This window comes from Homo sapiens, chromosome 4 (assembly GCF_000001405.40).
Source record: "Homo sapiens chromosome 4, GRCh38.p14 Primary Assembly".
Lineage (NCBI taxonomy): Eukaryota > Metazoa > Chordata > Mammalia > Primates > Hominidae > Homo > Homo sapiens.
In genome coordinates this window covers 3030362-3057035 of record NC_000004.12, presented here as the reverse complement: position 1 = coordinate 3057035, position 26674 = coordinate 3030362, and the positions used below count along the sequence as shown (strand labels likewise).

The 26674-nt window shown below is 48.2% G+C and overlaps 1 protein-coding gene, 1 non-coding gene and 1 pseudogene across 29 annotated transcripts in view, besides 7 other annotated features; 1 reads left to right on the top strand and 2 right to left on the bottom strand.

Annotated features, from left to right (window-relative positions):
• Nucleotides 1-10897, top strand: part of HTT-AS (HTT antisense RNA) — a 28486-nt gene extending 17589 nt beyond the window's left edge. For all 4 annotated transcript variants that reach the window (NR_185915.1, NR_045414.2, NR_185916.1 and 1 more), the window contains one exon: nt 7338-10897. This is a non-coding gene — a non-coding RNA (HTT antisense RNA). The remainder of the gene's footprint in view (nt 1-7337) is intronic.
• Nucleotides 8967-9326: an enhancer, noted in NCBI's record as "active region_21213". NCBI's record gives its function as "activates an Ori minimal core promoter by ATAC-STARR-seq in GM12878 lymphoblastoid cells {active_cell/tissue: GM12878}" and the evidence as "EXISTENCE:reporter gene assay evidence [ECO:0000049][PMID:35858748]".
• RNU6-204P (RNA, U6 small nuclear 204, pseudogene) lies at nt 12829-12935 on the bottom strand (annotated as a pseudogene).
• Nucleotides 14731-14950: an enhancer, noted in NCBI's record as "active region_21212". NCBI's record gives its function as "activates an Ori minimal core promoter by ATAC-STARR-seq in GM12878 lymphoblastoid cells {active_cell/tissue: GM12878}" and the evidence as "EXISTENCE:reporter gene assay evidence [ECO:0000049][PMID:35858748]".
• Nucleotides 16021-16070: a silencer, noted in NCBI's record as "silent region_15197". NCBI's record gives its function as "represses an Ori minimal core promoter by ATAC-STARR-seq in GM12878 lymphoblastoid cells {active_cell/tissue: GM12878}" and the evidence as "EXISTENCE:reporter gene assay evidence [ECO:0000049][PMID:35858748]".
• Nucleotides 16171-16620: an enhancer, noted in NCBI's record as "active region_21211". NCBI's record gives its function as "activates an Ori minimal core promoter by ATAC-STARR-seq in GM12878 lymphoblastoid cells {active_cell/tissue: GM12878}" and the evidence as "EXISTENCE:reporter gene assay evidence [ECO:0000049][PMID:35858748]".
• Nucleotides 16276-26674, bottom strand: part of GRK4 (G protein-coupled receptor kinase 4) — a 77190-nt gene continuing 66791 nt past the window's right edge. For 11 of the 25 annotated variants that reach the window (XM_011513447.3, XM_017008053.2, NM_182982.3 and 8 more), the window contains 4 exons: nt 21513-21650; nt 19525-19662; nt 18523-18660; nt 16276-16464 (listed from right to left, as the gene is read on the bottom strand). In XM_011513447.3, the coding sequence (XP_011511749.1) occupies nt 16411-16464; nt 18523-18660; nt 19525-19662; nt 21513-21650 (468 nt within the window). In that variant the 3' untranslated portion in view covers nt 16276-16410. Of the gene's footprint in view, nt 16465-18049; nt 18413-18522; nt 18661-19524; nt 19663-20737; nt 20855-21512; nt 21651-26674 lie in introns of those variants that run through there. The other 14 variants (XM_011513450.3, NM_001004057.2, NM_005307.3 and 11 more) reach the window with 8 other exon arrangements.
• Nucleotides 18589-18638: an enhancer, noted in NCBI's record as "active region_21210". NCBI's record gives its function as "activates an Ori minimal core promoter by ATAC-STARR-seq in GM12878 lymphoblastoid cells {active_cell/tissue: GM12878}" and the evidence as "EXISTENCE:reporter gene assay evidence [ECO:0000049][PMID:35858748]".
• Nucleotides 18649-18738: an enhancer, noted in NCBI's record as "active region_21209". NCBI's record gives its function as "activates an Ori minimal core promoter by ATAC-STARR-seq in GM12878 lymphoblastoid cells {active_cell/tissue: GM12878}" and the evidence as "EXISTENCE:reporter gene assay evidence [ECO:0000049][PMID:35858748]".
• Nucleotides 19319-19368: an enhancer, noted in NCBI's record as "active region_21208". NCBI's record gives its function as "activates an Ori minimal core promoter by ATAC-STARR-seq in GM12878 lymphoblastoid cells {active_cell/tissue: GM12878}" and the evidence as "EXISTENCE:reporter gene assay evidence [ECO:0000049][PMID:35858748]".

Here is a 26674-nt window from a genome sequence, read left to right as displayed (position 1 = left end):
GAAAAAGCCAGTCACAAGGGGCAAATGCTGTCTGATTCCACTGAGACAGGAGATGTAGAGTAGTCAAATTCATAAAAACAGAGGGCAGAATGGTAATTGCCAGGGGCTGGTGGAATTAGTGTTTCATGGGGACAGAGCTTCAGCTTTACAAGATGCAAAGAGTTAACTGTGCAAACTGATTGAATGAATGATAGATGGTGGGGGTGACTGTATGACATTGTTTCTGAACCCTATGCTTAAAAATCATTAAGATGGTAAATTTTATGTGTATTTTACTACAAATTTTAAAAGAAAGAAAAGAAAAGGAAATACCTAGTTTCTGGTGAAATTGTTTGCCAAAAGAAAAACCTGATTTTTGGTGAAAACTGCAACAGGGCATTATAATACGTTTTTGGTGAAAGGGGAAATTGTTCTAAATTTTCAGAAGGGCAGTTTGGTCATATAGGTGTAAAAGCAAACTAAATATGGCCTGAGAAGGACTCTGTACTTCTGTATTTGAGTCTTTGTGGATGAACTACAACCTAACTTATAGGTAGACAAGATTGAAACTGTAACTTACGCACCTGTAACAGTAGCTGAGTCTTTGCCAATCCCAGCAGCCATATTTCACTCATACACTGCTGAGAGTTCAAATGAGGCAAATGCCGAGCTGCAACCAACCAGCTATTTCTGTACCTCACCTCCAATTTCTGTACGTCACTTCCCGTTTTTTGTCTGTAAATTTGTTCTGACCATGAAGCATCCCTGGAGTCTCTCTGAATCTGCTGGGATTCTGAGGACTGCCCAATTCACGAATCATTCATTGCTTAATTAAACTCCTTTAAATTTAATTCGGCTGAAGTTTTTCTTTTAACATGGTGTCAGAAGTGGGATCCAAAGTAAAGCTTCTAATGACCCCTGGGGCACTGAGTGAACAAGTAAGGTACCTGCTGGACACACTTGTGTCCATTGATTTCTCAGAGCAGCTGGGGATCATGGATAAGTCCTCTCTTGGATTTTGGAGATCCACAGTTTGTGTTTCGAGCTCTCTGAGTTTTCTTTGTGCAAATTTCTGATCCAAACTGGGTTTGGAAGTCGCCAAAGAAAATGGATGGGTCCAGGAATAGATTTGATACGGTAATTAACCGGCCTGGATCCAGTTAGAGGCCTCTTACATCTGACTGGGTCTGAAAGAAACTGGTAGAAAATGGTAATATTGCAGGGGGTGTAAAATTTGGCTTTTGAAAATTCGTGGGGATGTTTGTGTTCTACCCCTTTGTTTCATTTTTCTTGCACACTTAGGTAGGAAAAAATCATTGGCTAAATTAATCAAGGGAAGCTGAGCGTAAAGCCAATATTCAGGTAAAAATGGGTTCCTTAATTTCCGGAAAACTGGGTTCCTTCTGGCTTACACGTTAGGCATGGAAAGTGGTGAAGTCTTACAGAAATGGTGAAATCTTACTAAAGATGACTACAGTGGAACATTCTGAATGAACAACAGTGCACTGACATGCATTTAAAAATGAAGGCTCCCAAAAATCAAATCTGCTAACCTTTTAGCTTAGTTACTATCGCAATCCAAAGGAGATAGGCTGCAGCACAAATTGGCTGACTTTGAATAAGTAATGGGGTACATTTTACCTAAGTAAAGCATGGGATTGGGTTAGAGGCCCTCCCCTCAGTAAAGTCCCTCTGGGTTAAAAATGGGTTAAAGATGACAGGGCCCAACCCAGGGCTAGTTTGAGACTTTTTTTTTTTTTAGACGGAGTCTCGCTGTGTTGCCCAGGCTGGAGTGCAGTGGCGCCATCACAGCTCACTGCAAGCTCTGCCTCCTGGGTTCATGCCATTCTACTGCCTCAGCCTCCTGAGTAGCTGGGACTACAGGCGCCCGCCACCACGCCCGGATGGTCTCGATCTCCTGACCTCGTGATCTACCTGCCTCAGCCTCCCAAAGTGATGGGATTACAGGTGTGAGCCACCACACCTGGCCAAGCCCTTACAATTTTTGTGAAAGAGCAGAACAGTGCTTTAAGAAAACCCTGTTGGCCAGGCGTGGTGACTCATGCCTGTAATCCTAGCACTTTGGGAGGTGGAGGCGGGCAGATCACGAGGTCAGGAGTTCAAGACCAGCCTGGCCAATATGGTGAAACCCCGTCTCTACTAAAAATACAAACATTAGCCAGGCGTGCTGGCAAGTGCCTATAATCACAGCTACTCCAGAGGCTGAGGCAGGAGAATCGCTTAAACCCAGGGGGCAGAGGTTGCAGTGAGCCAAGAGTGCACCACTGCACTCCAGCCTGGGTGACAGAGCGAGACTCCATCTCAAAAAAAAAAAATAGAAAGAAAAGAAAACCCTGTTGTGCTTTTACTTCAATGTTCAATTTCTGGAAAAAATGAATAATACTCCTTTAAATTTAGTCAATATGTTCACACACAGAATTTCTTTTACAAGATTAATTTTTACAAACCTACAATTTGCTCAAACTTTTAGCTTTATCTTATCTAACTTAAAAACCCTTTAACCCTCTAAACTAGGCAAAAATTTACATTCCCATGCCTTCTTATAATCTTTTACCAAAAACACATTTCACTCTCCTCACACACCTTGCATGTAAAACTATTTTTTTAGTAGTTTCAATTACATGTTATAATGGTAACTCTTAGCATCTTTTACTTTTGGTGCATGAATTTCACAAATCCTTTAACAACTTACACAGGCCATCTATGGCATGGTTGGACTTTCTCACTTGTCCTAAACACTCCTCTTTTTAAACACCCCTCTTTTTAAACAACCAGTTATTTTACTTTAGGGCAAGAATTTACCATACGAGATCCTTTCTTATATAAAATTTATTTTCTTTGTAATCTTCTTTGCCTAGCTGGGGGCATGGCTAATTCCACATGTCCGCAGGCCTTATCTAGAATCTAATGCTCCAAAATAATTTGAACAATTTAGAAAAGTCAAAGCAGTTTATGACCTTAAAAAATTTAGCAAACCTGGCTGGGTGCAGTGGCTCACACCTGTAATCCCAGCACTTTGGGAGGCGGAGGCGGGGGGATCATGAGGTCAGGAGTTCAAGACCAGCCTGGCCAACATGGTGAAACCTCATCTCTACTAAAAATACAAAAATTAGCTGGGCATGGTGGCATATGCCTATAATCCAAGCTACTCGGGAGGCTGAGGCAGGAGAATTGCTTGAACCCCGAGAGGCAGACGTTGTAGTGAGCCTAGATCACGCCATTGGACTCCAGCCTGGGCAACAAGAGTGAAACTCCATCTCAAAAAAAAAAAAAAAAAAGAAGTTAGCAAACCTAATATCTAACCTGCCTAATTTAGGCCAAATGTCTTTATTTTCACCAGTAACCTTTAAAACTTTTTATTTCCCAAAGATTACTGAAGTTACATGCACTAAAAGGCATTAGAGTTTTTATTTTTCTTTCAAAATATTTGATTTAAGCACTCATTTTTCTTAAAGCCAATTAATTAGAGCTCTTTTATTTATTTTTATTTTTATTTTTATTTTGAGACAGAGTCTCACTCTGTCATCCAGACTTGGGTGCAGTGGCACAATCTTGGCTCAGGGCAACCTCCACCTCCTGAGTTCAAGTGATTCTCCTGCCTCAGCCTCCTGAGTAGCTGGGATTACCAGCATGCGCCACCACACCTGGCTAATTTTTGTATTTTTAGTGGAGACGGGGTTTCGCCTGGTTGGCCAGGCTGGTCTCGAACTCCTGACCTCAGGCGATCCACCCACCTCAGCCTCCCAAAGTGTTGGGATTATAGGCGTGAGCCAATGTGCCTGGCAATTAGAGCTCTTTTATATAAACATTAAACACACAACACATATATAACTACACAGACAGACAGAAGAAGATCCAATAGTTGTAAGATTTTTCATTTACCACTTTCTAAGTTTCTAAATTGGATTACTGGCTTTAGGATGGAGTCCTTGGAAGAACAGGACCAGGAAAGCATGCAGTTTCTAGGGCCTAATATAATAAGCAGGCACAGCTGGAAGGCAAAACGGATCTCCAAAAATTAAGGGTCTCTTTTTTTTTTTTGAGACGGAGTCTTGCTCTGTCACCAGGCTGGAGTGCAGTGGCACCATCTCAGTTCACTGCAACCTCCGCCTCCTGGGTTAAAGCGATTCTTCTGCCTCAGCCTCCCAAATAGCTGGGACTATAGGCGCATGCCGCCATGCCCGGCTAATTTTTTTTTATTTTTATTTTAGTAGAGGTGGGGTTTCACCATGTTGCCCAGGCTGGTCTCGAACTCCTGAGCTCAGGCAATCCACCCACCTCGGCCTCTCAAAGTGCTAGGATTACAGGCGTGAGCCACCATGCCCAGCCTGAGGTCTCGTTTTTATACCAGATCCTGGATCCCCCCCAAAAAAGAGGGAGTCAGCCCCATAACTGCCATTAGACATCCCTAAAGTATATTTCCTGCCTAGTTATTACACACCAAGTCTCTATGTGAAGTAATTTCTGATACCCCCAAGTAAAAAACAGTAGATAATCCAATGCAAAACAGAACAGAGCCTTAGATTTTGAAAGGAATCTATCTACTTCCAATTTCTGGGGTTTCATGAGTAAAACAGAGTTTTTTCCCAAAACGGGGTCTCTGGCACCTCCTGTTTTCCCAAGGAGTCCCAGGCTGTTAGAGCCAGAATATCTACTTTTAATTAAGCTGACTTTTAACCATTGCACTCTTTAATAAAAGTTCTTTTAAATTGCTTATTACCCAACTTTCATCAGGCCAAACAGCCAATATTCCTGCCTTTAAACTATTGAAAGTAACCTCCCAGGTGCTCTGAGAAAGGCAATTCAAGACAGTTTGTGGAGGGGGAGAAAATCAAAAAATGGCAAAGGTTACCCAAATATCAATTAGAAAGTACTCATTCCCTAAGCCAGGAATCAAACCCAGATCACCACTGAACTATAGCACTGGGCAGTCTCCATTGCCCTTCCCAGAAAGAGTCTAGAGTAGTTAATTTTCAGCTGGCAAAGCCTCGTAACTACTCAAGATAGATTGTAGAGCTAACTATGACATGAACCCAAAATTCCTGTTCCACTTGGAAGGTGGAGACCAAGTAACCGCCACATGGTTACAAGGTCAAACTCCCAAAGACTTAAAACAAGATGGAGACCTCATCTAGTTTTTTTGTTTGTTTCAGGGATCTGCAGCAGTTACTGACCAGCTTGTTGGGCCATCTTGAGCGGCGAGCAAGCTTATGGGGTTTTAAGCCCATGTTCTATCCTAAGGCGCCCCTTTTTATCACAGAACAGCACGGGAAGACACATAAAGCCTACGAGATTCACTACAGCCTGAGATTAGCCTCACAAATCCTTTTTTCCATTAATCAAAACTTTACAGAGGAGATAAGCAGTGATTTTTTTTTTTTTAATTCATTCAACCAGTTTGAACACACAGAGAGAGAGAGGTCAGAAATCTGACTGGTAAGAAATTCTTACCCTTTTGCTGTGTGCCAGGCTTCTGGATTCCCTTTCCCTGAGTAGCCCTAGTGACCCAGCTCTCCACATCATATCCCTGAGGGCCAAGCCACATCATAAAGGAAAATGATCTTTTTTTGTTTCATTGAACCACAGGCAAAAGCCTCTCAACTTTTAAATTTGAGCAGCAAGTTGCCACCCAACTGGCTGCATGGGGGCACCAAATATCAAACTGGCAAAAGGCCAGGCGCGGTGGCTCACACCTATAATCCCAGCACTTTGGGGGGCCAAGGCAGGTGGATCACCTGAGGTCGGGAGTTCGAGACCAGCCTGACCAACGTGGAGAAACCCCGTCTCTACTAAAAATACAAAATTAGCTGGGCATGGTGGCACATGCCTGTAATCCCAGCTACTAGAGAGGCTGAGGCAGGAGAATTACTTGAACCTGGGAGGCAGAGGTTGCGGTAGCCGAGATCCTGTCACTGTACTCCAGCCTGGGCAACAAGAATGAAACTCCATCTAAAACACACACACACACACACACACACACACACACACACACACACACACACACAAATTGTAAGGGATTATAAAAGGTTTATAAGAATCTCACCTCATGGTCAAACTGGTTAAGCATAACATCAAGTGTTTTAAACCTTTAATATATTTGATAGGCTTCCCAAAATCAAATTTCAGCTTCAAAATAGTCTTTCTGACCTCTAACTTTGGGGTGTTACAGAGATCCCCTAAAGCATCCAAAGAGAGGTAAACGGGATAATCTGATATGTTAAGTTACATGGGAAGCATTGTCAAAAAATAATGTTTACTCCTCTTCAGGTTACATTTTAGTGAATGATATTAATATATGTTCCAAAATTAAATGGGATTTCTAAAATTCTAATATGCCTGAGTCTATGCTATCAATATAATTATGGTTAAGTTACTGTAAATCATAGAAATAACCAAATTTCCTTGTCAATTGTGTTTTTAACTATGACTATTTAAAGTCATTTCCACAGTTAATTGCTTAATGCTGGTGCGGTTTCTGAAAACTTCAAAAGTATGGTGTCTTTTAGGAGATTCATAAAAGGATGAAAAGGACCCTAAAAATCAGTCTTGGAATACAGGTTTCTAATAACTTTAGAATCATATCATTTGAACTGGGTAAGAATTCCTGGAACTTTAATGAAAAGACTGACTGGCTTATAGAACTGCTAACCCAAGTAGAACAAAAATTAATTGAATACCAAGAAAAGAGTTTGCCAGATTTTCATCTTAAATCAGCTGACACTGAAATAGTTCAGATATACAATTTGAATGAAATCCATGGTCTAAGTCAAATTACCTGTGATAACCCATCAGTTATCCGTGCAATGCACCTAATTTGGAGAAGCAACTGGGATTCAAGAGGACTGAAGTCTAATGTTAATTAAGTATGGACTCACGGAGAACCAGGACGGCCACCTTGTCCTTCCTGAGTCCTTAAAGCTTTTGTTATTAAAAGTTCTGCATTTCGTGACTCATCATGGAAAAGATAAAGTAATCCAAATTAAATACATTGGTGTGTGGGAGGCAGAGGTTGGAGTGAGCCGAGATTGCACCGCTGCACTCCAGCCTGGGTGACAGAGATTCCATCTCAAAAAAAAAAAAGTGTATATGTGTGTGTGTGTGTGTGTGTGTGTGTGTGTGTGTGTGTGTGATAACTTACAAATTGCTAAAATAGTTTATAACCCTGGGCTATTTACATATTTTATAAAGGGATTTTATTCAATCGTCATTTTCAATGCATGTTTTCCGGGTTGTATAAAAGCTCTCGCATGTTAAGAGGGCTGATGTTTTAACAGTAGGTTATTATGCTACAGTATATTTTTCTATGGTTCACTGAGGTCAAACCCTTTGCATTCTAGAACCCGAAGACTGGATCTTCTGAGAACATCAGAGAAAGACTGTCCTTGCCATCCGCACTGCAACAAAACTTAGGGATCTTGAAACTTGGGTTCATAATCTCACAACTGAGAAGGGTCCATCCACACTCCTGGAACTGTACACCCATTGGAACCTTTAAGGTAAAGCCAAGGAAGTCTCTCCCCAGAAGATGGCATCCTTGATGTGAACGGCTTTTGCTAAGATCGTGGATCAAGACTTCTACTGTCATGAGACTCTCTTTTTTTTTTCTTTTTTGGAGATGGAGTCTTGCTCTGTCACCCAGGCTGGAGTGCGGTGGTGCAGTCTCAGCTCACTGCAACCTCTGCCTCCTGGGTTCAAGCGATTCTCATACCTCAGCCTTCCGAGTAGCTGGTATTACAGGTGCCTGCCACCACACCAAGCTAATTTTTGTATTTTTAGTAGAGATGGGTTTTTGCCAAGTTGGCCAGGCTGGTTTTGAACTTCTAACCTCAGGTGATCCGCCCACCTCGGCCTCCCAAAGTGCTGGGATTACAGGCATGCACCACCACGCCTGGCCATGAGACTCTTATCTTTGAGTATCTGTTCCTTGCTTATGCCTCTATGAATAATAGAAATGAAAAGACGATCTGTTGTGTGCACTTATGGGGTATACTTTCATTTGTGAAGGATTTTGCAGCCAGCCTTATACACGGATAACTTTATACTTTGATAGATAAAAGATGAAGGTCCAGTGTAGGTGAGAAACTTTAATGAGACATATGTTGCCTGTAATCAGTCAGAAACAGAATATCGGTTCACTCCTCTTAACCCACACTATGGGTTAAAGAGGGCATTGCCAGGAGGGCTTTACTCTTCCAGAAGGGCATCACTTTTCCATGGTTTAGAGTAAAAGAGGCCATAACCAGAAATGTATCCCTCATGATAGGCTGTATAGCAGACTCTACTGTAAAGGCTATAGTTACACAACAGACTTTCAATTCCCTTGTGAAAGGTATGCTAAATAATAGAATTGACTAAACAGAAAAGTAGTACCTGTGCAGCTGCTGGCACCTGTGGCCTAGGGAGAAATACATCAGGTATTATAGAGATTCAGTTGTGGGAGATTAATGAAAAGGCCACTTAGTTGAGTGAGTAGCCTCTTATCTAGCTCATTGTCTGATCTATTTGATTTGGGGTGGTTTGGTGTATAGGGACCCTGGGTAAGGAGCATACTGCAAACTCTTGGTATTATCCTCCCAGTAATCATAATAATAGTCTCCCTGGTGCGCTGCATTCTCTCAAAGGTTTTAAATGTCTGCATGCAGCCATCTCTAGAACAACAAATGGTCTCTCTTCAACTGGAATGGCAGAAGCTGAAAGAAATGTGTGACCATGAGGACACCGTAACCTATGAATGACGTGCTGAGACCAGAAACCCAAAACGATGGTAACTGAGAGTGGTGCTAAGGCCCTAAGTTTTGGTCACACTCTCGCCTGTAGGGTCCAGCCCTACTGGGCCTGTGGGTTTTTCTCCTCACCTGCGGAGATGAGAGATCACAGAAATAAGGACACAAGACAAAGAGATAGAAGAAAAGACAGCTGGGCCCAGGGGACCACTACCACCTAGACACGGAGACTGGTAGTGGCCCCGAATGCCTGGCTGCCCTGTTACTTATTGGATACAAGACAAGGGGGCAGGGTAAGGAGTGTGAGTCATCTCCAATGATAGGTCAGGTCACGCAAGTCACGTGTCCACCGGACAGGGTGCCCTTCCCTGTTTGGTAGCCGAGGCGGAGAGAGAGAGGAGACAGCCTACGTCATTATTTCTTCTATGCATTTCAAAGACTTTAGCACTTTCACTAATTCTGCTACTGCTATCTAGAAGATGGAGCCAGGTGTACAGAGCGGAACATGAAAGTGAAACAGGAGCGTGACCGCTGAAGCACAGCATCACAGGGAGATGGTCAGGCCTCCGGATGGCTGTGGGCGGGCCTGACTGATGTCAGGCCTTCCACAAGAGATGGTGGAGCAGAGTCTTCTCTAACCCCTCCGCCCCTCTCCCCTGGCCAAAGGGAGACTCCCTTCCCTGGTCGGCTAAGTAACAGGTGCCTTCCCAGGCACTGTCATTACCACTAGACCAGGGAGCCCTCTAGTGGCCCTGTCTGAGCGTGACAGAGGGCTCACACTCGTCTTCTGGTCACTTCTCACCCTGTCCCTTCAGCTCCTATCTCTGTATGGCCTGGTTTTTCCTAGGTTATAATTGTAGAACAAAGATTATTATAATATTGGAATAGAGTAATGCCACAAACTAATGATTGATAATAGTCATATCTAATCATATCTATAATCTATTTCTAGTATAACTATTCTTTTTGTTTTGTTTTGTTTTGTTTTTGTTTTTGTTTTTTGAGACAGAGTCTCGCTCTGTCACCCAGGCTGGAGGGCAGTGGCGCAATCTCGGCTCACTGCAAGCTCCGCCTCCCGGGTTCATGCCATTCTCCTGCCTCAGCCTCCCGAGTAGCTGGGACTACAGGTGCACGCCACCACGCCCGGCTAATTTTTTGTATTTTTAGTAGAGACGGGGTTTCACCGTGTTAGCCAGGATGGTCTCGATCTCCTGACCTCATGATCTGCCCACCTCGGCCTCCCAAAGTGCTGGGATTATAGGCGTAAGCCACTGCGCCCGGCCTAGTATAACTATTCTTATTCTATATATATATTTTTTATTATACTGGAACAGCTTGTGCCCTCGGGGTCTTGCCTTGGCAGCTGGGTGGCTTGCCGCCCACACTCACCTAAGTGAGAACCTGGACAGAAAGGGGAATTTATTAAAATAAAATTATGGGAGGCCATTGTTTTGGACTGAGCTCATGCACTATGTCCCAACAGACTAAGCCAAACAAAAATGGAGTCACTCATGCTAAATGTGACATAATCAAACTAAGACTTTAAGGAAACACATAGATCCTAACAGATTCCCCTATAAACAGGACGTTCCAGCATAAGGAGGTACCCTCAGTCCTTGTTCCTACCTTTGCAAAACTCACTGTTCTACTGTTTCTCAGAGGGTTTCAGGACCAAATAAGTACATTTACGATGGTGATAGTGACATCAATGACTAAAGTTTTGGTCAATCTCTCAAAATTGAGAAAATGACCAAAAGGGTGGAATTGTTAAAGCAAACTAAATATGGCCTGAGAAGGACTCCATACTTCTCTATTTGAGTCCTTGTGGACGAACTGCAACCTAACTTAATTGGTAGACAAGACTGAAACCCTGACATCCTCACTTGGGAGTCTGCACCTGTGGCAGTACCTGAGTCTTGGCCAATCCCAGCAGCCGTACTTCACTCGTACACTGCTGAGAGTTCAAACTGTGTCCAAATAAGGCAAATGCCGAGCTGCAACCAACCCAGCTGTTTCTGTACTCACCTCCAATTTCTATATGTCACTTCCCTTTTTTGTCTATAGATTTGTTCTGACCACGAGGTATCCCTGGAGTCCCTCTGAATCTGCTGTGATTCTGGGGGCTGCCCAATTCGTGAATCGTTCATTGCTCAATTAAACTCATTTAAATTTAATTTGGCTGAAGTTTTTCATTTAACAGAGGTATATAATATGTATTCTTTAAAATGTTCAAACACTGTTTTGAGTGCATATTGTGCTTTTTTGTTAAAAAAAAAATTATGATGTGATGTTTACTGCTCCCTTGAGGTACATAAGAAAATCCTAAAACCCCTGCCAACTGAGCGGACCGCTTCTTGGTCGAGGAGACCTCAGAGAAACCTTAAAAACTGAGTTCCTGGCCGTGACAGGACAGGTCAGACTCGCCTCAGTGTGCCCCTTCCTTAATACCCTTTCACTGGAATGCCTTCCTAAAGAATAAACAGAAACCAGCTCTAGAAAAAAAGAACAGACATCTCACTCTTCTATTGCCTTTAGCCAATCATCTGAGGCCACGGCCAGGCAATGCTTCCCTTCCTGGTAAGAGACCACAGAGCCTGCAGTGGCCGTGGCCGTCTCCAGAGGCGGTGCAGTGAGGGTTCTCGTGTCCTCTGCTTCACCTTTTGACGTCAGAGGGAGGAAAACCACATCCTCCGATCACGCTAACCCCAACATTTTTTGAACACGTGACCCATGAAGAGGCATGAAGCTAACTGCACACTGGGTGTTGCTCCCCTCACAGATATTCATAACTCCTCCTACAGCGTATTCCATATGTATATTCAGCCACCCTGAGGATCTAGGGGAAAAGCGCAGTGTCCTTTTCCTGTTCTCTCACTCAAGAATCAACACAGAATACTTCTCCCCACCCACAAGCAAGCAATCAGTTCTGCAGCGGACACCAGCTGGGTGTCCTCTCATTCAAGTCTGACGGCATCTACCTGTAGACAGCGCCTGACCACACAGATCGAGGACTCAGTTCCCACAAGACTGAACCCCGTTTCCAATGCCAACTGCAAGCCCCTGGTTATTTGGCCTGTGATTCTGACTGACCTGCTAAACATTGGGGGTTCCCACAGCCCCCTCCTTGGGTTCAATTAATTTGCTAGATCAGCATACAGAACTCAGAGAAACACATTTCCTGGTTTATTACAAGGCATATTTTACAGGATACAGATGAACAGCCAGATGAGAAGATGCATAGGGAGCGTTCTGGAAGGGTCCCAAGCACAGGAGCTTCTGTCCCCGTAGAAGGGAGGTGCGCTGCCCTCTAGAAACCTCCACGTTACCCGGAAGCTCTCTGAACCCTGTCCTCTTGGGTTTTTATGGAGGCTTCATCACATAGGCATGATTTAATCATTAGCCATTGGCGATCAGCTCAACCATCAGCCCCTCTCCCTTCCCAGAGGGCAAGAGTAGGGCTGAGTCCCAACCTTCTAACCCTACCTTCTTCTTTCTGGTGACCAGCCCCACCTCCTATCTTGAAGCTGTCTAGGAGCCACCAGCCACCTCATTAACATACAAAAAAGACATTCATCACTTTGAAGATTCCAAGGATTTGGGGAAATATATGCCAGGAGACTGAACGAAAACCAAATATAACTTCACAATATCATGGATGACTGAAATATGTAATAAAAGATTAAGCAGGCCAGGCACAGTGGCTCACACCTGTAATCCTTTGGGAGGCTGAGATGGGCAGATTACTTAAGGCCAGGGGTTCGAGACCAGCCTGGTCAACATGGTGAAACCCCATCTGTACTAAAAAAAAAAAATTAGCCGGTGTGGTGGTGGTGCCTGTAATCCCAGCTATCCGGGAAGCTGAGGCATGAGAATCACTTGAATGCAGGTTGCAGTGAGCCGAGATCACGCCACCGCACTCCAGCCTGGGCAACAGAGCGAGACTCTCAAAAAAAACATTAAAAATTTAAGCAGCCAAATGACATGGAAAGAAATAAATCACTATATTAATTATATAAATAGCAAACAAAATGTTGATACGGATTGCCTATGCACAGCAGCTAATATTAAAGACGAGATTTTGTGTTTTTTCTTTTTTTAAATATATTTTTGTATGGAACGCTTCACAAATTTGTGTGTCGTCCTTGTGCAGGGGCAATGCTAATCTTCTCTGTATCATTCCAGTTTTAGTGTATATGCTGCCACAGCGAGCACTGTTCTTCTTAATTTCAAAGTTCTCTTCAATACATACATGCTTGCTTATAAACAGAAAGAGAAAAATGAGATGTTCAACATGTTAATTGAACAAGTTACCAAATGGTCTGTGTACAAATCCTGGCCTAGGTTTATTTCTCTCAGTCAAAGCTTTCACTTGGGCATGGGGAAATTTAACTCAGACTAGCTTAAGCAAAAAAAGAAACAAAGAAACAAAAAGGACTTTATTAGTTCCATAGCCACCAGCCCAGGGTATGAACGATGCCCTCGGGCCCTGGGCCCTGCAACCCTGGTCGGTTCCCAGGTCTAGTTTCCTCCTCAGCAGGCAAGATGGAGGGAGTGCTACTGGACAGGGGTCCCGATCCAGACCCCAAAAGAGGGTACTTGGATCTCGCTCAGGAAACAATTCGAGGCTAATCCATAAAGGGAAAGCAAGTTTCTTAGGAAAGTAAAGGAATAAAGAATGGCTACTCCGTAGGCAGAGCAGCCTAGAGGGCTGCTGGCTGCCCATTTTTATGGTTATTTCTTGATTATATGCTAAACAAGGGGTGGATTATTCATGAGATTTCTGGGAAAGGGGTGGGCGATTCCCAGAACTGAGAGTTCCTCCTCTTTTTAGAACATACAGGGTAGCTTTCAGACGTTGCCATGGCATCTGAAAACTGTCATGGCGCTGATGGGAGTGTCTTTTGGCATGTTAATGCATTATAATTAGCATGTAATGAGCTGTGAGGATGACCAGAGGTCACTCTCATCGCCATCTTGGTTTTGGTGGGTTTCCCAGCTTCTTTATTTACTTCTTTATTTTATTATTTTTTTTGAGACGATGTCTTGCTCTGTTGCCCAGGTCTCGGCTCACTGCAGCCTCTGACTCCTGGGTTCAAGAGATTCTCCTGCCTCAGCCTCCCGAGTAGCTGGGACCACAGGCATCCATCACTGCACCTGGCTAATTTTTGTATTAGAGACGGGGTTCACTATTTTGGCCAGGGTGGTCTCTAACTCCTGGCCTCAAGTGATCCACCTGCCTCGGCCTCCCAAAGTGCTGGGATTACAGGCATGAGCCACCGCGCCTAGCTCCGGCTTCTTTAAAACAGTCTGTTTTATCAGCAAGCTCTTTGGGACCTGTATTTTGTGCCAGCCTCCTATCTCATCCTGTAACTAAGAATGCCTAACCTCCTGGGAATGCGGCCCAGCAGGTCTCAGGCTCATTTTACCCAGCCCCCATTCAAGATGGAGTTGCTCTTGTTCAAATGCCTCTGACAGGCAGGTGTCCCTAAACTTCAACACCTGCGCGAGGCAGGCCTTTACAGAGGCCCTGTGGCTGGCAAGGAAGTCAGGTCCTCAGCCCAGCCAGGTCCCCAGCCCCCAGCAGAGTCGTCTACACTGTGATTCCGCTGTGGACTTTGTCTACACTGATGGAAGAACTCCTGGAAAGAGTCAGAGTGGAAATGGGGGTGGGGGTGGAATAATGGTGATTTTTCTTTCCTGCATGTTTTCCTGTATTTTCTGCAATGAGCAGGTATTATTTTCCCACGATTATTGGCATAGTTACTGAATGGTGACCACGTATTCAACACTGTGCTACATGATTTACAGACTCTGAAACCTGCTCTCAGCATCCCGGGGGCACCAACTCCTGCCATCTTCATTCTGCAGCTGAGGACAGTGAGGCACAGAGGAGAGGGGTCCAGAGTCCCGCCGCGGTCACCCGCTTCCAAAAAGCCTTACTCTTTAATGAGTTTTGCCTCAATCAGAAGAAAAGCAAAGCTATTTCCATTCCCCCAAAGAATAAAGACCCCAAGTCTCCAAGATAACGTCCCCTTCCCCTTCCCCTCGTACAAAGAAGGCTCCCAACCTCATGGTGACATCCCCGCTGGTGTTTTCCTCCCAGGACGGGCCCCAGTGCCCCTGCTGGAGCCGGCGGTGGGCACCTGCGGAAGCTGATTTTCCCCACACCCCGATGCAAGGGAAACGTCCGCCTGGAAGCCTGGTCGCTCCTGCTGCTCTTGTGAAAGCGGCCCAGGGAGCGCTGTGTCCCTCAGGCACTGTGGTTCCTCTCCCGCGCGCAGCTGTCCGATGTGTCACTGTCTGGTTCAAAGTCACCGAGGCCTGTGCCCTGGCTTCTCACGCAGCAGGCAGCACAGAGATCCCGGCTGCAGGCTCCAGGCAGCCCTGACAGCAGTGGAGAATGGATGGGGCGGAGGTGAAGGCACCCGGCTGGTGTCCCCGTCAGCTCCTCCCTGAACCAGCCCTCACCATGTCAAGTGCTGCCCTGCCCTGCGGAAGCCGCAGCCAGCGCCGGGCCGGCCCATCCTGCGAAGCACAGTTCAGGAAAAAGGCCCAAGTTCCGCACCTTCTCTAAGGATCTGGGCGCAGCTTCAAGGCCGCCAGCGAGGGCCCTCAGCAGGGTCAGCTCTGGGGCCTCAGCCCTCCCTGTCCCTCCTGTTCGCTCCCCGCCCAGCTCCAACGTCGCCCCCTGGGAAATCTTCATGCCCTGGCACACGCACGGGTGCCTCCGCGGGCTTCAGTGCCGGTCCACACCCTTCCGCTACGCCCTGGCGTGGGGTTCGCCAAGCGCACAAAGCCACGTCTCCCCGCGGGTGAGCACCCCAGCTGAAGAGGCACCACGCACTGCTGTGAGCTCTCAGCTTGTGCAGTTTCAGCGCCCTTAACCTCCACGGGAAGCTCCCAGGCTCCTAAGCGCCACTAAAGCCCAGGAGGGCGGGCTCCTCATCCCTGACACAGTACCGGCCTCTCGGGGGCCCTGACGTGGACTCCCACGGTGCAGGCTGTCACCGCATGCCGGGCGCACCTGCTGGAGCCCTGGCCGCCAGGCCCTGACTGCAGGGTCATGGGGAGCCGCCCCTTTCAAGGGCAGATAGATATGCTCAGAGAAAATGAAAACTGGCCACAAACACACAAACCGAAGGAATCTCGGTGAGGGGCACAAGGCAACGGGACAGCCATCGGGAGATGCAGGAATGCCAACGGGCTCGGACTGTCTGACACCCGGGCCCTGGGGAAAGGGAGGCCCGGCCGCCCCCTCTCTTCCTGGACCACCACATCTCTGGCCGAGTGGTGAGACCAAGTCTGGGGGTGGCGCGAGGCACTGCAGTGCTGGGTCATCCATTCCCAAGCCCCCGCTGGCCTCTCCCTGGGTGCAGGGAAAGCTCCCACCCTAGCATGCAAGGCGCCCACACCTGGGCACCCCAGCACGCAAGGCGCCCACACCTGGGCACCCCAGCACGGAAGGCGCCCACACTTGGGCGTGTCTGGGGCCTCAGGGGTACTCTTGGGGCTTTTTCTTCAATCCAGCTTTAGTGAAAAGACAACTCAGGTATTAGTGCAGAAAGGTCTGTACACTCCCAAGGCATGTTTTATTTAGATGTATTTATTACAATTCCAGGTGGGACGAGACGCTAACACATGCTCCTTCCTGGCGCCAGGGTCTGCTCTGTGGTCCGCACCGGGGTGCTCAGCATTGCTTGGGTTCCACTTCCTTCTCACTGGGGACCATGGTCAGGCAGCCCTACAACACACAGCGGCGGCCTCAGGCACACGGCTGATGCGAAGGTTTCACTTTCCTTAAGTGCAGACAACCATTTACAAACTTTTGGGTGGGGGGTGCTTTTTTATTTTTTATTTATTTATTTATTTTTTGAGACATAGTCTCACTCTGTCGCCCAGGCTGGAGTGCAATGGCAGGATCTCAGATCACTACAACCTCCACCTTCCAGGTTCAAGCAATTCTCCTTCCTCAGCCTCCTGAGTAGCTAGGACCACAGCCACACGCCACCACACCCTGCTAAGTTTTGTATTTTTAGCAGAGACGGGGTTTCACCATGTTGGCCAGGTTGCTCTCGAACTCCTGATCTCAAGTGATCCTCCCACCTCAGCCTCCCAAAGTGCTGAGATTACAGGTGTGAGCCAGCGTGCCCGGCCAGGGGGCTGCTAATTTTAAGGCAGGCAAAAACCTGAAAAATTTTCTCCTTATTTACTTCATGATGTGGTAGATGCTTAGCTCACATACATAGGAAATGCAGCAGGTAAGTTCTGCATGTACCATGGCTGAGGCATGAATGTCACAGGGTCTCTGGCTGCCTAAGAAGCAGTGTGGGGAGAATGGGCTTCACTCTGTGCAATCAGATTCTCTCAACGGCAGGTTTTCCCCAAAACGTGGGAACCTGGGTTCCATCTCCAAGTGTGGACACTGGGACCGGGGCCCAGGGAGGAGCATTTATTTCCATGCAGGGCTGGCTACACACTGAGGGTCAGGGAGAGCCATTTTGTTAGTTCACACCTAACCCTTAGTTCTCAGAGGAAAGACAGCCATGGGAAATGCCACTTTGAGATATTTCCCACCTAAAGCTTATTTTTTTTTCCTTTTTTTTTTTTTTTTTTTAAGACAGAGTTTCACTCTTGTCACCCAGGCTGGAGCGCAATGGTGCAGTCTCGGCTCCCTGTAACCTCCGCCTCCCAGGTTCAAGCGATTCTCCTGCCTCAGACTCCCAGGTAGCTGGGATTACAGGCACATGCCACCATGACCGGCTAATTTTTATATTTTTAGTAGAGATGGGGTTTCACCATGTTGGCTAAGCTGGTCTTGAACTCCTGACCTCAGGTGATCCACCCTCCTCAGCCTCCCAAAGTGCTGGGATTACAGGCGTGAGCCACCACGCCTAGCCTATTTTTCATACTGAAAGAAAGATGGATTAGAATGTTAGTGGCCAAGCTCTGAATCAACCCCCTGGGAACACACAGGGTGCAAAGTAGGATGGCCCACGAATCCAAGGAGAGACACTTTGCATGGAAAAAAGGCTTGTCTACATTTAATGCTATTACAGAAAGTCTTTCCAAAGGATTCCATTTTTCTTTCTTTCTTTTTGAGATGGAGTCTTGCGCTGTTGCCCAGGCTGGAGTACAGTGGCACGATCTCGGCTCACTGCACCCTCCACCTCCTGGGTTCACGCGATTCTCCTGCCTCAGCCTCCCAAGTAGCTGGGACTACAGGCATGTGCCACCACACCCGGCTAAGTTTTGTATTTTTAGTAGAATTGGGGTTTTGCCATGTTGGCCAGGCTGGTCTCAAACTCCTGACCTCAGGTGATCCACCTGCCTCGGCCTCCCAAAGTGCTGGGATTACAGGCGTGAGCCACCGCACCCAGCCAGGATTCCCTTTTCAAAAAGGAATCCACTTTCCCCGTGCAGCGGGCGAAGGAGGTGAGTCTAAGAGCCAGAGCAGGGAGAGATGCACTGTGAGTGCCATCTGACGAAGGTTCCACAGGATGCCGATTTCTGAGCCCAGTGTAAACTATTTTGTCAGCGACACGGGAACCTGTTTGTAAATGCTGGAAGGTAGTCCTGTTTTGGATCAGAACAGTCTTCATCCCAGCAACAAACCTCACTGCGAGGGTGTTCTCATTGTTCTGGCTGGCCTCCACCTAGCACCATGTGGCTCTCAGACTGTATAAAACTGCCTGTAGGAGCCATCGCAAACAGAAAAAGTACCAGGTTTTCACCTTGGCAGTCAGTATGTTTTTTTTTTTTTCACATACACACACATATATTAGTTTTTAAGTCTTTTTACCCCTCTTCTGAAGAGTCTATAGAAGAAGCCTCTGTTTGGTCTGGAAACCGGGGTATGTATGTTCTTGTCTAGATCTAATGGCAAAGCTTCCTCACTTTCACTTTTGTTGATGTCTTTGAAACACCCAGATTCGATCATCTGCATGCACAGAATAACAGGACAGAGAAGCCGCAGAGAAACTGCCAGGTCAGTGGGTGTCTCCCAGTGCCAGCAGCTCCTGCCCAGCCCCGTGCGGGGCACCTCAGAGCTCCTGCACCCACTGTGGGGCCCCTTTTCTGGGTTCCTCCTTCCCTGCTTCCTGACCTCTTCTTGGAATAAGTAATGTGGTCTCCTCTCCCCTTGTCTCTGAGTGTACTCCCAAAGCAGGGAACTACCATGGGAACCCTGGCTGCCAGCCAGCCCTGCTTAGGGAGTGGGGCTCGGGGTGGCAGGCAAGCTCCCATCAGACCCAAAATAGCTACCTCCTGTCCACTTCCTGTCATTGGGACCAGGGACAGCCGCTGTGCTTCTGGACAGCTGCTGATATGGTCCTTGGCTTGCCCATGGTCTAGTCCTGTGGTCAAAAGTCTTATACAATCTTTTTTTTTTTTTTTTTGGGTGAGACGAAGTCTCGTTCTGTCGCCCAAGGTGGAGTACAGTGGCGCAATCTCAGCTCACTGCAACTTCTGCCTCCCAGGTTCAAGCGATTCTCCTGCCTCAGCATCCCTACTAGCTGGGACTACAGGTGCCTGCCACCATGCCTGGCTAATTTTTGTACTTTTAGTAGAGACAGGGTTTCACTATGTTGGCCAGGCTGGTCTCGAACTCCTGACCTCATGATCTGCCTGCCTCAGCCTCCCAAAGTGCTGGGATTACAGGCGTGAGCCACTGCGCCCAGCCGTCTTATATAATTTTATCTCCCAAATACACACAGACACACACACACACACGGACACACACACACCCTTTTCCCTGGGTCACTGTTGGAACTAACGTAAAGCGGCTGTGCTGGAAGGGCAGTACCTCATTCTGCCAGGGGATGGAGACACACCCGGTAGCAAACCGAGCATAGAAGTCTTCATCTGCGGTGTCCAGGTAGATCCCTTTCACCACCGAGAACTGCTCGATATCCAGGACGTCCTTACAGTAAACGGCATGAGGCTGTGTAGCAAGAACAGGGGCAGCCTCTGAGATGACTACAGCAATTCTCAGCTCCCTCAGTTCCCAAGAATGAAACGCCCAGCAAACTGACGCATAAACACCGCCACTCTCCCTGTCTCCATTCTTTTGCCAGGCCCCTCTCACTTGAGGCATTTTCTAAATCACAGAATGTGTCCTCTGAAGAGGTGGTTCGCCAGCTTTTAGTGTCACCAATTTTGTGGTACTGTCTGTGCCAGGTCCCTTGCATGCCCTGGCTCTCTCCCTCTTTCTCACACACACACACACACACATACACACACACATACACACACACACACACACACACACACCCCTCCTGAGGCCATGCCCTTCTCCTTTCCGTAGTGCAAAATGGATTGCAAACAGAGGTCAGGGATGCAGGGCAGGGTGGACTGCACGTATTGGAAGATGCAGCACAGAACCGGAGAAGTGTGAACAGGGACAGAGGCCACCAGCGGTGGGATCCCTTAGTGACAATTCTCGCCCCTGCCTCCAATTCTTGGTGCACTCCTGGCAAAGCACCCGGAGAAAACCTGAGGAACAGCAGCAGCTCCCACTTCCCATCCTCCTGCAGGTCCACTGAGTGGTCTCCAAGGCTGCAAGGGACCTCATCCCTCCGCTCAGCTCCCTGAATCAGCAGGTCCCTCCTCTGGGACAGGAACCCAGGTCTGCAGCTCCTATCCCGGCACTGCTGTCCTCAGAGGCAGAGGGTCAGGCAGGCAGGAGGGAGTGCCAAGGTCCGGGTCTCCACCTGCCGCCAGTACAGTTCCTTGCACTTTCAGGGCAAAGGAACAAAAAGCACGGAAGTCGGCAGCTGTGGGACCCTCATCTGCTCATGCCGGAGGCACCCGCAGTCCTGAGAAACTTTTCACCCAGGACTTGTGCACTACAGTGAGTGTTTCAGCAAAGCAGTGGCTCCAAAGGCCACGGTCAGCACAGCTGTTAGAGTAGCTGCTCTTCACTCATTCATACCCTCAAGGTGGGGAGGCGGAAGTGGACCGGCAGGCCCCGCCCCTCGGGGACAGTCCAGAGGAAGGTGTCCCAACAGCACACTCACAAGGAGGCACAGTGACCACTTCAGGGTCCTCAGTACGGGGCCAGGCCACAGTCCCAGGACCTCATGAGAAGCAGAGTGGGGACACGCGTTCCAGACAAAGGAAGCAGGGCCTCACGGCTGTGGGAAACACAAGAATGAGAGAGAAAGCCAGCCCTGAGACCAGAAAGGGGACACGGGTGGCCAGGCGTAGTGGCTCATGCCTGTAATCCCAGCATTCTGGGAGGTCAAGGCAGGAGGATCACTTGGGGCCAGGAGTTCAAAAGTAGCCTGGGCAACATAGGGAGACCCCCGTCTCTAGAAAAGAAGTGAAAATGAGCTGGGTGGTGTGTGGCTGTGGTCTCAGCTACCTGGGGGGCTCCCCCAGCAGTGAGGCTGACAGTGACACGAGGCAGGGAGCTAGAGCACCGCTGAGGTCTGTGAGGGGCCCAGTGAGTGGCCAAAGCACACTGGGGTGACGGGGGAGGGAAGAAGAACCAGGTAGGACAGGCACCATGAGCAAAAGCCACATGCTAACTGTACCTGCTGATTCTGTATCTGTTGTAATAAAAAACAAAAAAAAACAAAAAACTGTGTTGCAGCCGGGCACAGTGGCTCACGCCTATAATCCCAGCACTGTGGGAGGCCAAGGTGGAGGACCACTTGAGGCCAGGAGTGCAAGACCAGCCTGGGCAACACAGTGAGACCCCCCATCTCTATTTTTGAAAAAAGAAAGAGAAAAACCGTGCTGTGCGGATCACTGTTCCTAGGGCCCTGCTCGTCCTGGCAATGCACTTACATCAGGACAGAAAGGGGGCTCCAGCATGTTTGCCTCCAGCCTCCTGAAGTTGATGTCCTTGAACACGGGGTGCTGCTTCACCCCAGCCGCTCCCTCGCCCCTGCAGCCCAGCCGCTTGCTTGGATTCTTGGTGAGTAACTGCAAGAGGCAGAAATGCAACCCACTTGAGCCTCTGGATAAAAATGAAAACTCAAAACTCCCCTGCATAATAATAACCAAAGGACTCGGGAGGGCAGAGCAGGTGCATCTAACAAATCATTTCTTTTTTTTTCTTTTTTTGAGATGGAGTCTCGTTCTGTCACCCAGGCTGGAGTGCAGTGGTGCGATCTCGGCTCACTGCAAGCTCAGCCTCCCGGGTTCACGCCATTCTCCTGCCTCAGCCTCCCGAGTAGCTGGGACTATGGGCACCCGCCACCGTGCCCAGCTAATTTTTTGTATTTTTAGTGGAGACGGGGTTTCACCGTGGTCTCCATCTCCTGACCTCGTGATCCACCCGCCTCGACCTCCCAAAGTGCTGGGATTACAGTCGTGAGCCACCGCGCCCAGCTGCATCTAACAAATAATTTCCAAGCATCAAGCAGACCTCAGGAACTCAGACTTTACTCATTAAATTATATGACACTTCACAAAGGAGGGGGGCGAAGGTTTCGCCTTTGAGCTATCAATAAATAAGGGGTCGGCTATGTTATTCCTTAAGTTAAAAAAATTAATCATAAAAATGTGGGGATTTTTAAAGAGGAAACAGAAACTGTTGTCAATTTCAGAAATACCACTAAGGACCTCAGATGAGGCAACCACTTAGCAAACCTCGTTCTCAAAATATCTTCTTAATATTTTGGTATTCTAGTATATTCTTAAAATTACCAGAAAGGATCTCTTTAGAAAGTATTCCTCACATACATATTTACCATCATCACAAAGGCAAATAAGCCTTCCTCCGCAATTCTCATCAATCAGAAAAAGCAGGGCTGTGCTCAAAAGCAACACATGAAAGACCTGGACCCCTGAAACGTGACCTAGACCTGGGCTTGGGAAACCACAGTCCAGCCACCACAGGCACCAGCTGCCTGGTTTTGGAAACAAGGCTTTATCGACACCACCCTTTTCCACTATAGCGGCAGAGTTGAATCGCTGTAATAGACCTGCAAAGTCTAGACGCTGTTTACCATCTGGCCTTACAGAAAAGTATGCTGATCCCTGGCCAACTCAAAGTCCCAAAGACCAGAAAGCATTCTGGTCTGCGCTTCTATCTCCCACCGCTCTCAGCTCCTTGCTGGGCTGTGCCTGCTCCAGGGCTGTGTCTACAAAGCTCTTCGGCTTGCTGACTCCTGCTAAATTCTTCAGGTTTTAGCTTTCTGGCCCCCATACCTGCACTAGATTAGGCTCCCCAAATTTTTTTGCCACAGCCTGAGGGGATCCTCCACCTCTCCTCGATGACAAGTATTTCTTGCTGAGAATGAGTCATTTGGACGCGCCATTATTGCCAGGCTGTCCTGCTAGACTCAAAGCTTCCTGAAGCTAAGGCTGTGTGACTCTGGCCCACTGTGATACCCCAGCACCTAGCCAGAGCAGGCGCTCAGTAACAGTTGCTCAATGCGTTTATTCTTTGCATGCTTTGTTAATTTAAAACGGATGTGAAGACCGGGCGCAGTGGCTCATGCCCGTAATCCCAGCATTTTGGGAGGCCGAGGTGGGTGGATCACGAGGTCAGGAGATCAAGACCATCCTGGCCAACATGGTGAAACCCGGTCTCTACTAAAAATACAAAAATTAGCCGGACGTGGTGGCAGATGCCTGTAGTCCCAGCTACTCAGGAGCCTGAGGCAGGAGAATCCCTTGAACCCGGGAGGCAGATGCTGCAGTGAGCTGAGGTCGCACCACTGTACTCCAACCTGGGCCAGATCTGTTTCTTGAGACTCCGTCTCAAAGAAACAACAACAAATAAATTAATAAAACAGATCTGAAAATTAAGTGTAATGCAAATACCATTTCTGCATCTCAGGGACTCCACAGCCCCATGGTTGAGCTTGCTGCCAGCATACTCCACTCCCATCGAGGGCCAGGATGCTCTGAATGTGTGTATCCCCCACAAATCTGTAAGCTGAAACTTAATCCCCAATGCAATAGTATTGAGAGGTGGGACCTTCTGGAGGTGATGAGGTCATGAAGGCTCTGCCCTCGTGAATGGGATTCCTGCCATTAGAAAAGGGGCCCCAGGGAGCTGGTTTGTCCTCTGCCCTGTGAGGGTGCAGTGAGAAGGCTCCATCTTTCTTTCTTTTCTTTTCTTTCTTTCTTTCTTTTAAAATATAGACGGCATCTCACTGTGTTACCCAGGCTGGTCTCTAGCTCCTTGGCTCAAGTGATCCTCCCACCTCAGCCTCCCAAAGTGCTAAGATTATAGGTATGAGCCACCAGCTCCAGCCAAGGCTCCATCTTTGAAGCAGAGAGCAGCCCTCACCAACACCAAATCTGCAGGCATCTTGATCTAGGACTTCCAGCCTCCTGACTGAGAAAATAAACTTCTGCTGTTGATAAATTACTCAGTCTAAGGGATTCTGTCATAGCAGCCCAAAGGGACTAAGACAGATGGCCTGACCAGGCAGCACAGAGCAGAGGAGAGGGGCTTGGTCCAAAAGCTGGCCTCAGGTCCAGCTGCCAGCAGTTGCTGTGTGACGTCGTTAACCCATAGAACCCATTCTTTAAGAACGAACTGTTTCTCCTCTTAGTAATTATGGAGGATTATTTGCTACTAAACATTTTACATGTATTACTTCATTTTATCCTCCCAACAATCCTATAAAGTAAGAGCTACTCTCATCTACATTTCATAAATGAGAAACTGAGCTGGGAGAGATGATCCTGTAATGGGAGCTGAGACTCACCTGGCCCTAACTTCAAAGCTAGAGCTTCTCACACAGAGCCCTCACTCAGACACCTCCTTTCCCAGCACCTCCAACACCACGGATTTCATCTTGAAAGCCCCTGAGCCTTTGTTTCTATCCACTTACGACACCCATTGCATCCTGCTTTATTTTTCTTCCCCTCCCCGAGCCTAGCAGAACAAGTATGCATTCTGCTTTTTCTTTTCTTTTTTCTTTTTTGAGACGGAGTCATGCTCTGTCGCCAGGCTGGAGTGCAGTGGCACAGCCTTCCGAGTACCTGGGATTACAGGCGCCCACCACCGCACCTGGCTAATTTTTTTTTTAGTAGAGATAGGATTTCACCATCTTGGCCAGGCTGGTCTCAAACTCCTGACCTCATGATCCACCTGCCTTGACCTCCCAAAGTGCTGGGATTATAGCATGAGCCACCGCACCCGGCCCATTCTGCTTTTTCACTGCAGTCATTTCTGTTTGTTTTAGGCCTAACATTAAACTGTGAGCTCTTAGGGGCAGACTCCATTTCTGGTACATATTTATACATTCTTGCAGCCCTGTCAGTGTCCTGTGGGAGGAAGACTCCATTATTTAACAGTCAGCTCTAAGCAGAGTGAGGTAGCCGGGAGAACTCCAGGCTGACCCCTGGCTCCAGGACGAGCCTGTAGCACCCATGGCTTCATATATGGAAACACATGAAAAGGACATCAGAATAACTCCTCTCCAGCCACTGCCAGCCCATGTCAGTTACCCAGGCACAGCTGCTAGGAATGCCCACACCCAGGCAGGGGCCTATGCCTGGCTGCTTGGTCCTGTGGCCTTCTCTTCTCCAGTGACTTCATCCTCCATCCCCCCAGTGACCCCCAGCCACTCTCTCCCTGGTCACACCCCAGACTCTTGGCCAGCAAGCACTCTGTCAGCTCCACTCCAAGCAGCTTCCTCTCTGAGCGTCCCTCTCATCTTTCTAACTCTGGCCTGGAGGTGTATGGACTCCCAACTTGGACCATGCTTTGCCCATCCTGTTGAACCTGCCGTTCCCTGTGTCCATTTCCTCGTCCACTGGAGCCAGCGTCGAGCCCATGGTCTGTCCTCTAGTCACTCCCTGGCATGCAGCCCAGCTCCCCGGCCTCTCTCTAGCTGCTGGACAAACCAGAGCTGGGCGAGTGCAGCTCCCTGCTGGCTCTGAGCCTGCACCGTCCAGGTGTGGCAGAAGCCCAGCACACAACCACGGCCACTCCCCTCCCTTCAGGTCCGCATGGGCTCTTGATGCTGTTGAGGAAACCCCTGCTTTCCAAGCCTTCAAGCCTCCCCTTTCCTCACACCTGCCTCCCACCTTTGCTCCCCACTAGGGGCTGACCATCTGAGAAAAAGAAGCTCCATAAGAGACCGTTCACAGCCCTGCTCACGTCTCCCCAGCTGTGCTGCACTGGCCACAGACTCTGCCTCCTCTCCGGTCACTGGAGGAACTGCCCACACACTCCCCGTGCGCTGGCTGCTGTCCTCCCCACTGCAAGGACTTGGCTCCAGCGAGTGCCCCCTTCCCTCCAGCCCATCTTGGAGTCAGCCTGAAGTCTTCTCCACCACCTGCCTTCAGGATCCATCCTGAATCTGACAGCGGTCATCTGCCATCACTTCTCACACCTGCTCTGCCATCACCGAGGTCTGCGTCACCTTTACTCTCACCTGAATCGCTGCAAAGCCCCCAATGGCCTTCCTCCTCCCTGTCCATTCATTCTCTCCCAGTGGCCGGCAAGCCCAGTCTCATCACATCACTCTTCACAGAGCCCTGCGATGGCTTCATGGCCATCAGAGGAAGCAACACTCAAGGCTTGACAATGATGACAATAACAAGTGACAGGTGGTTCAGCATGGCCTGGGCTTCCTGCTCTCTGTCCCGTCCCCCTCTAACCCCCTCCTGCTCTTGCCAGCAGCCTGCCACTGTGGCCTTGCTATTGCAGACAATCTCTGTCTGCTCTGCCCAGCAGGCCGACCCCCTCTCACCCCCTAGAGCCTGCCGCCCCTCCAGGCAGTTCCCCGTCCTCCAGAGTGCGGGTCCTCCCCACAGCCCACACGTCTATGCATTTGTTCTGTTTCCTGTCAGTTCTCGCTGGCAGGGCGGGGACTTCTGTTCTATTTGCTGCTGTTTCCCCCAATGCCTAGGACGGTGCCTGGAACATACAAGATGCTCAATAAATCCTTGTTGAATGAAAATAAATGAAAAAAAAAATGTGCTAAAAAAATACTGGTTTAAAGTAAGTAACAAAGAGAGTTTCCCTCACTGATTGA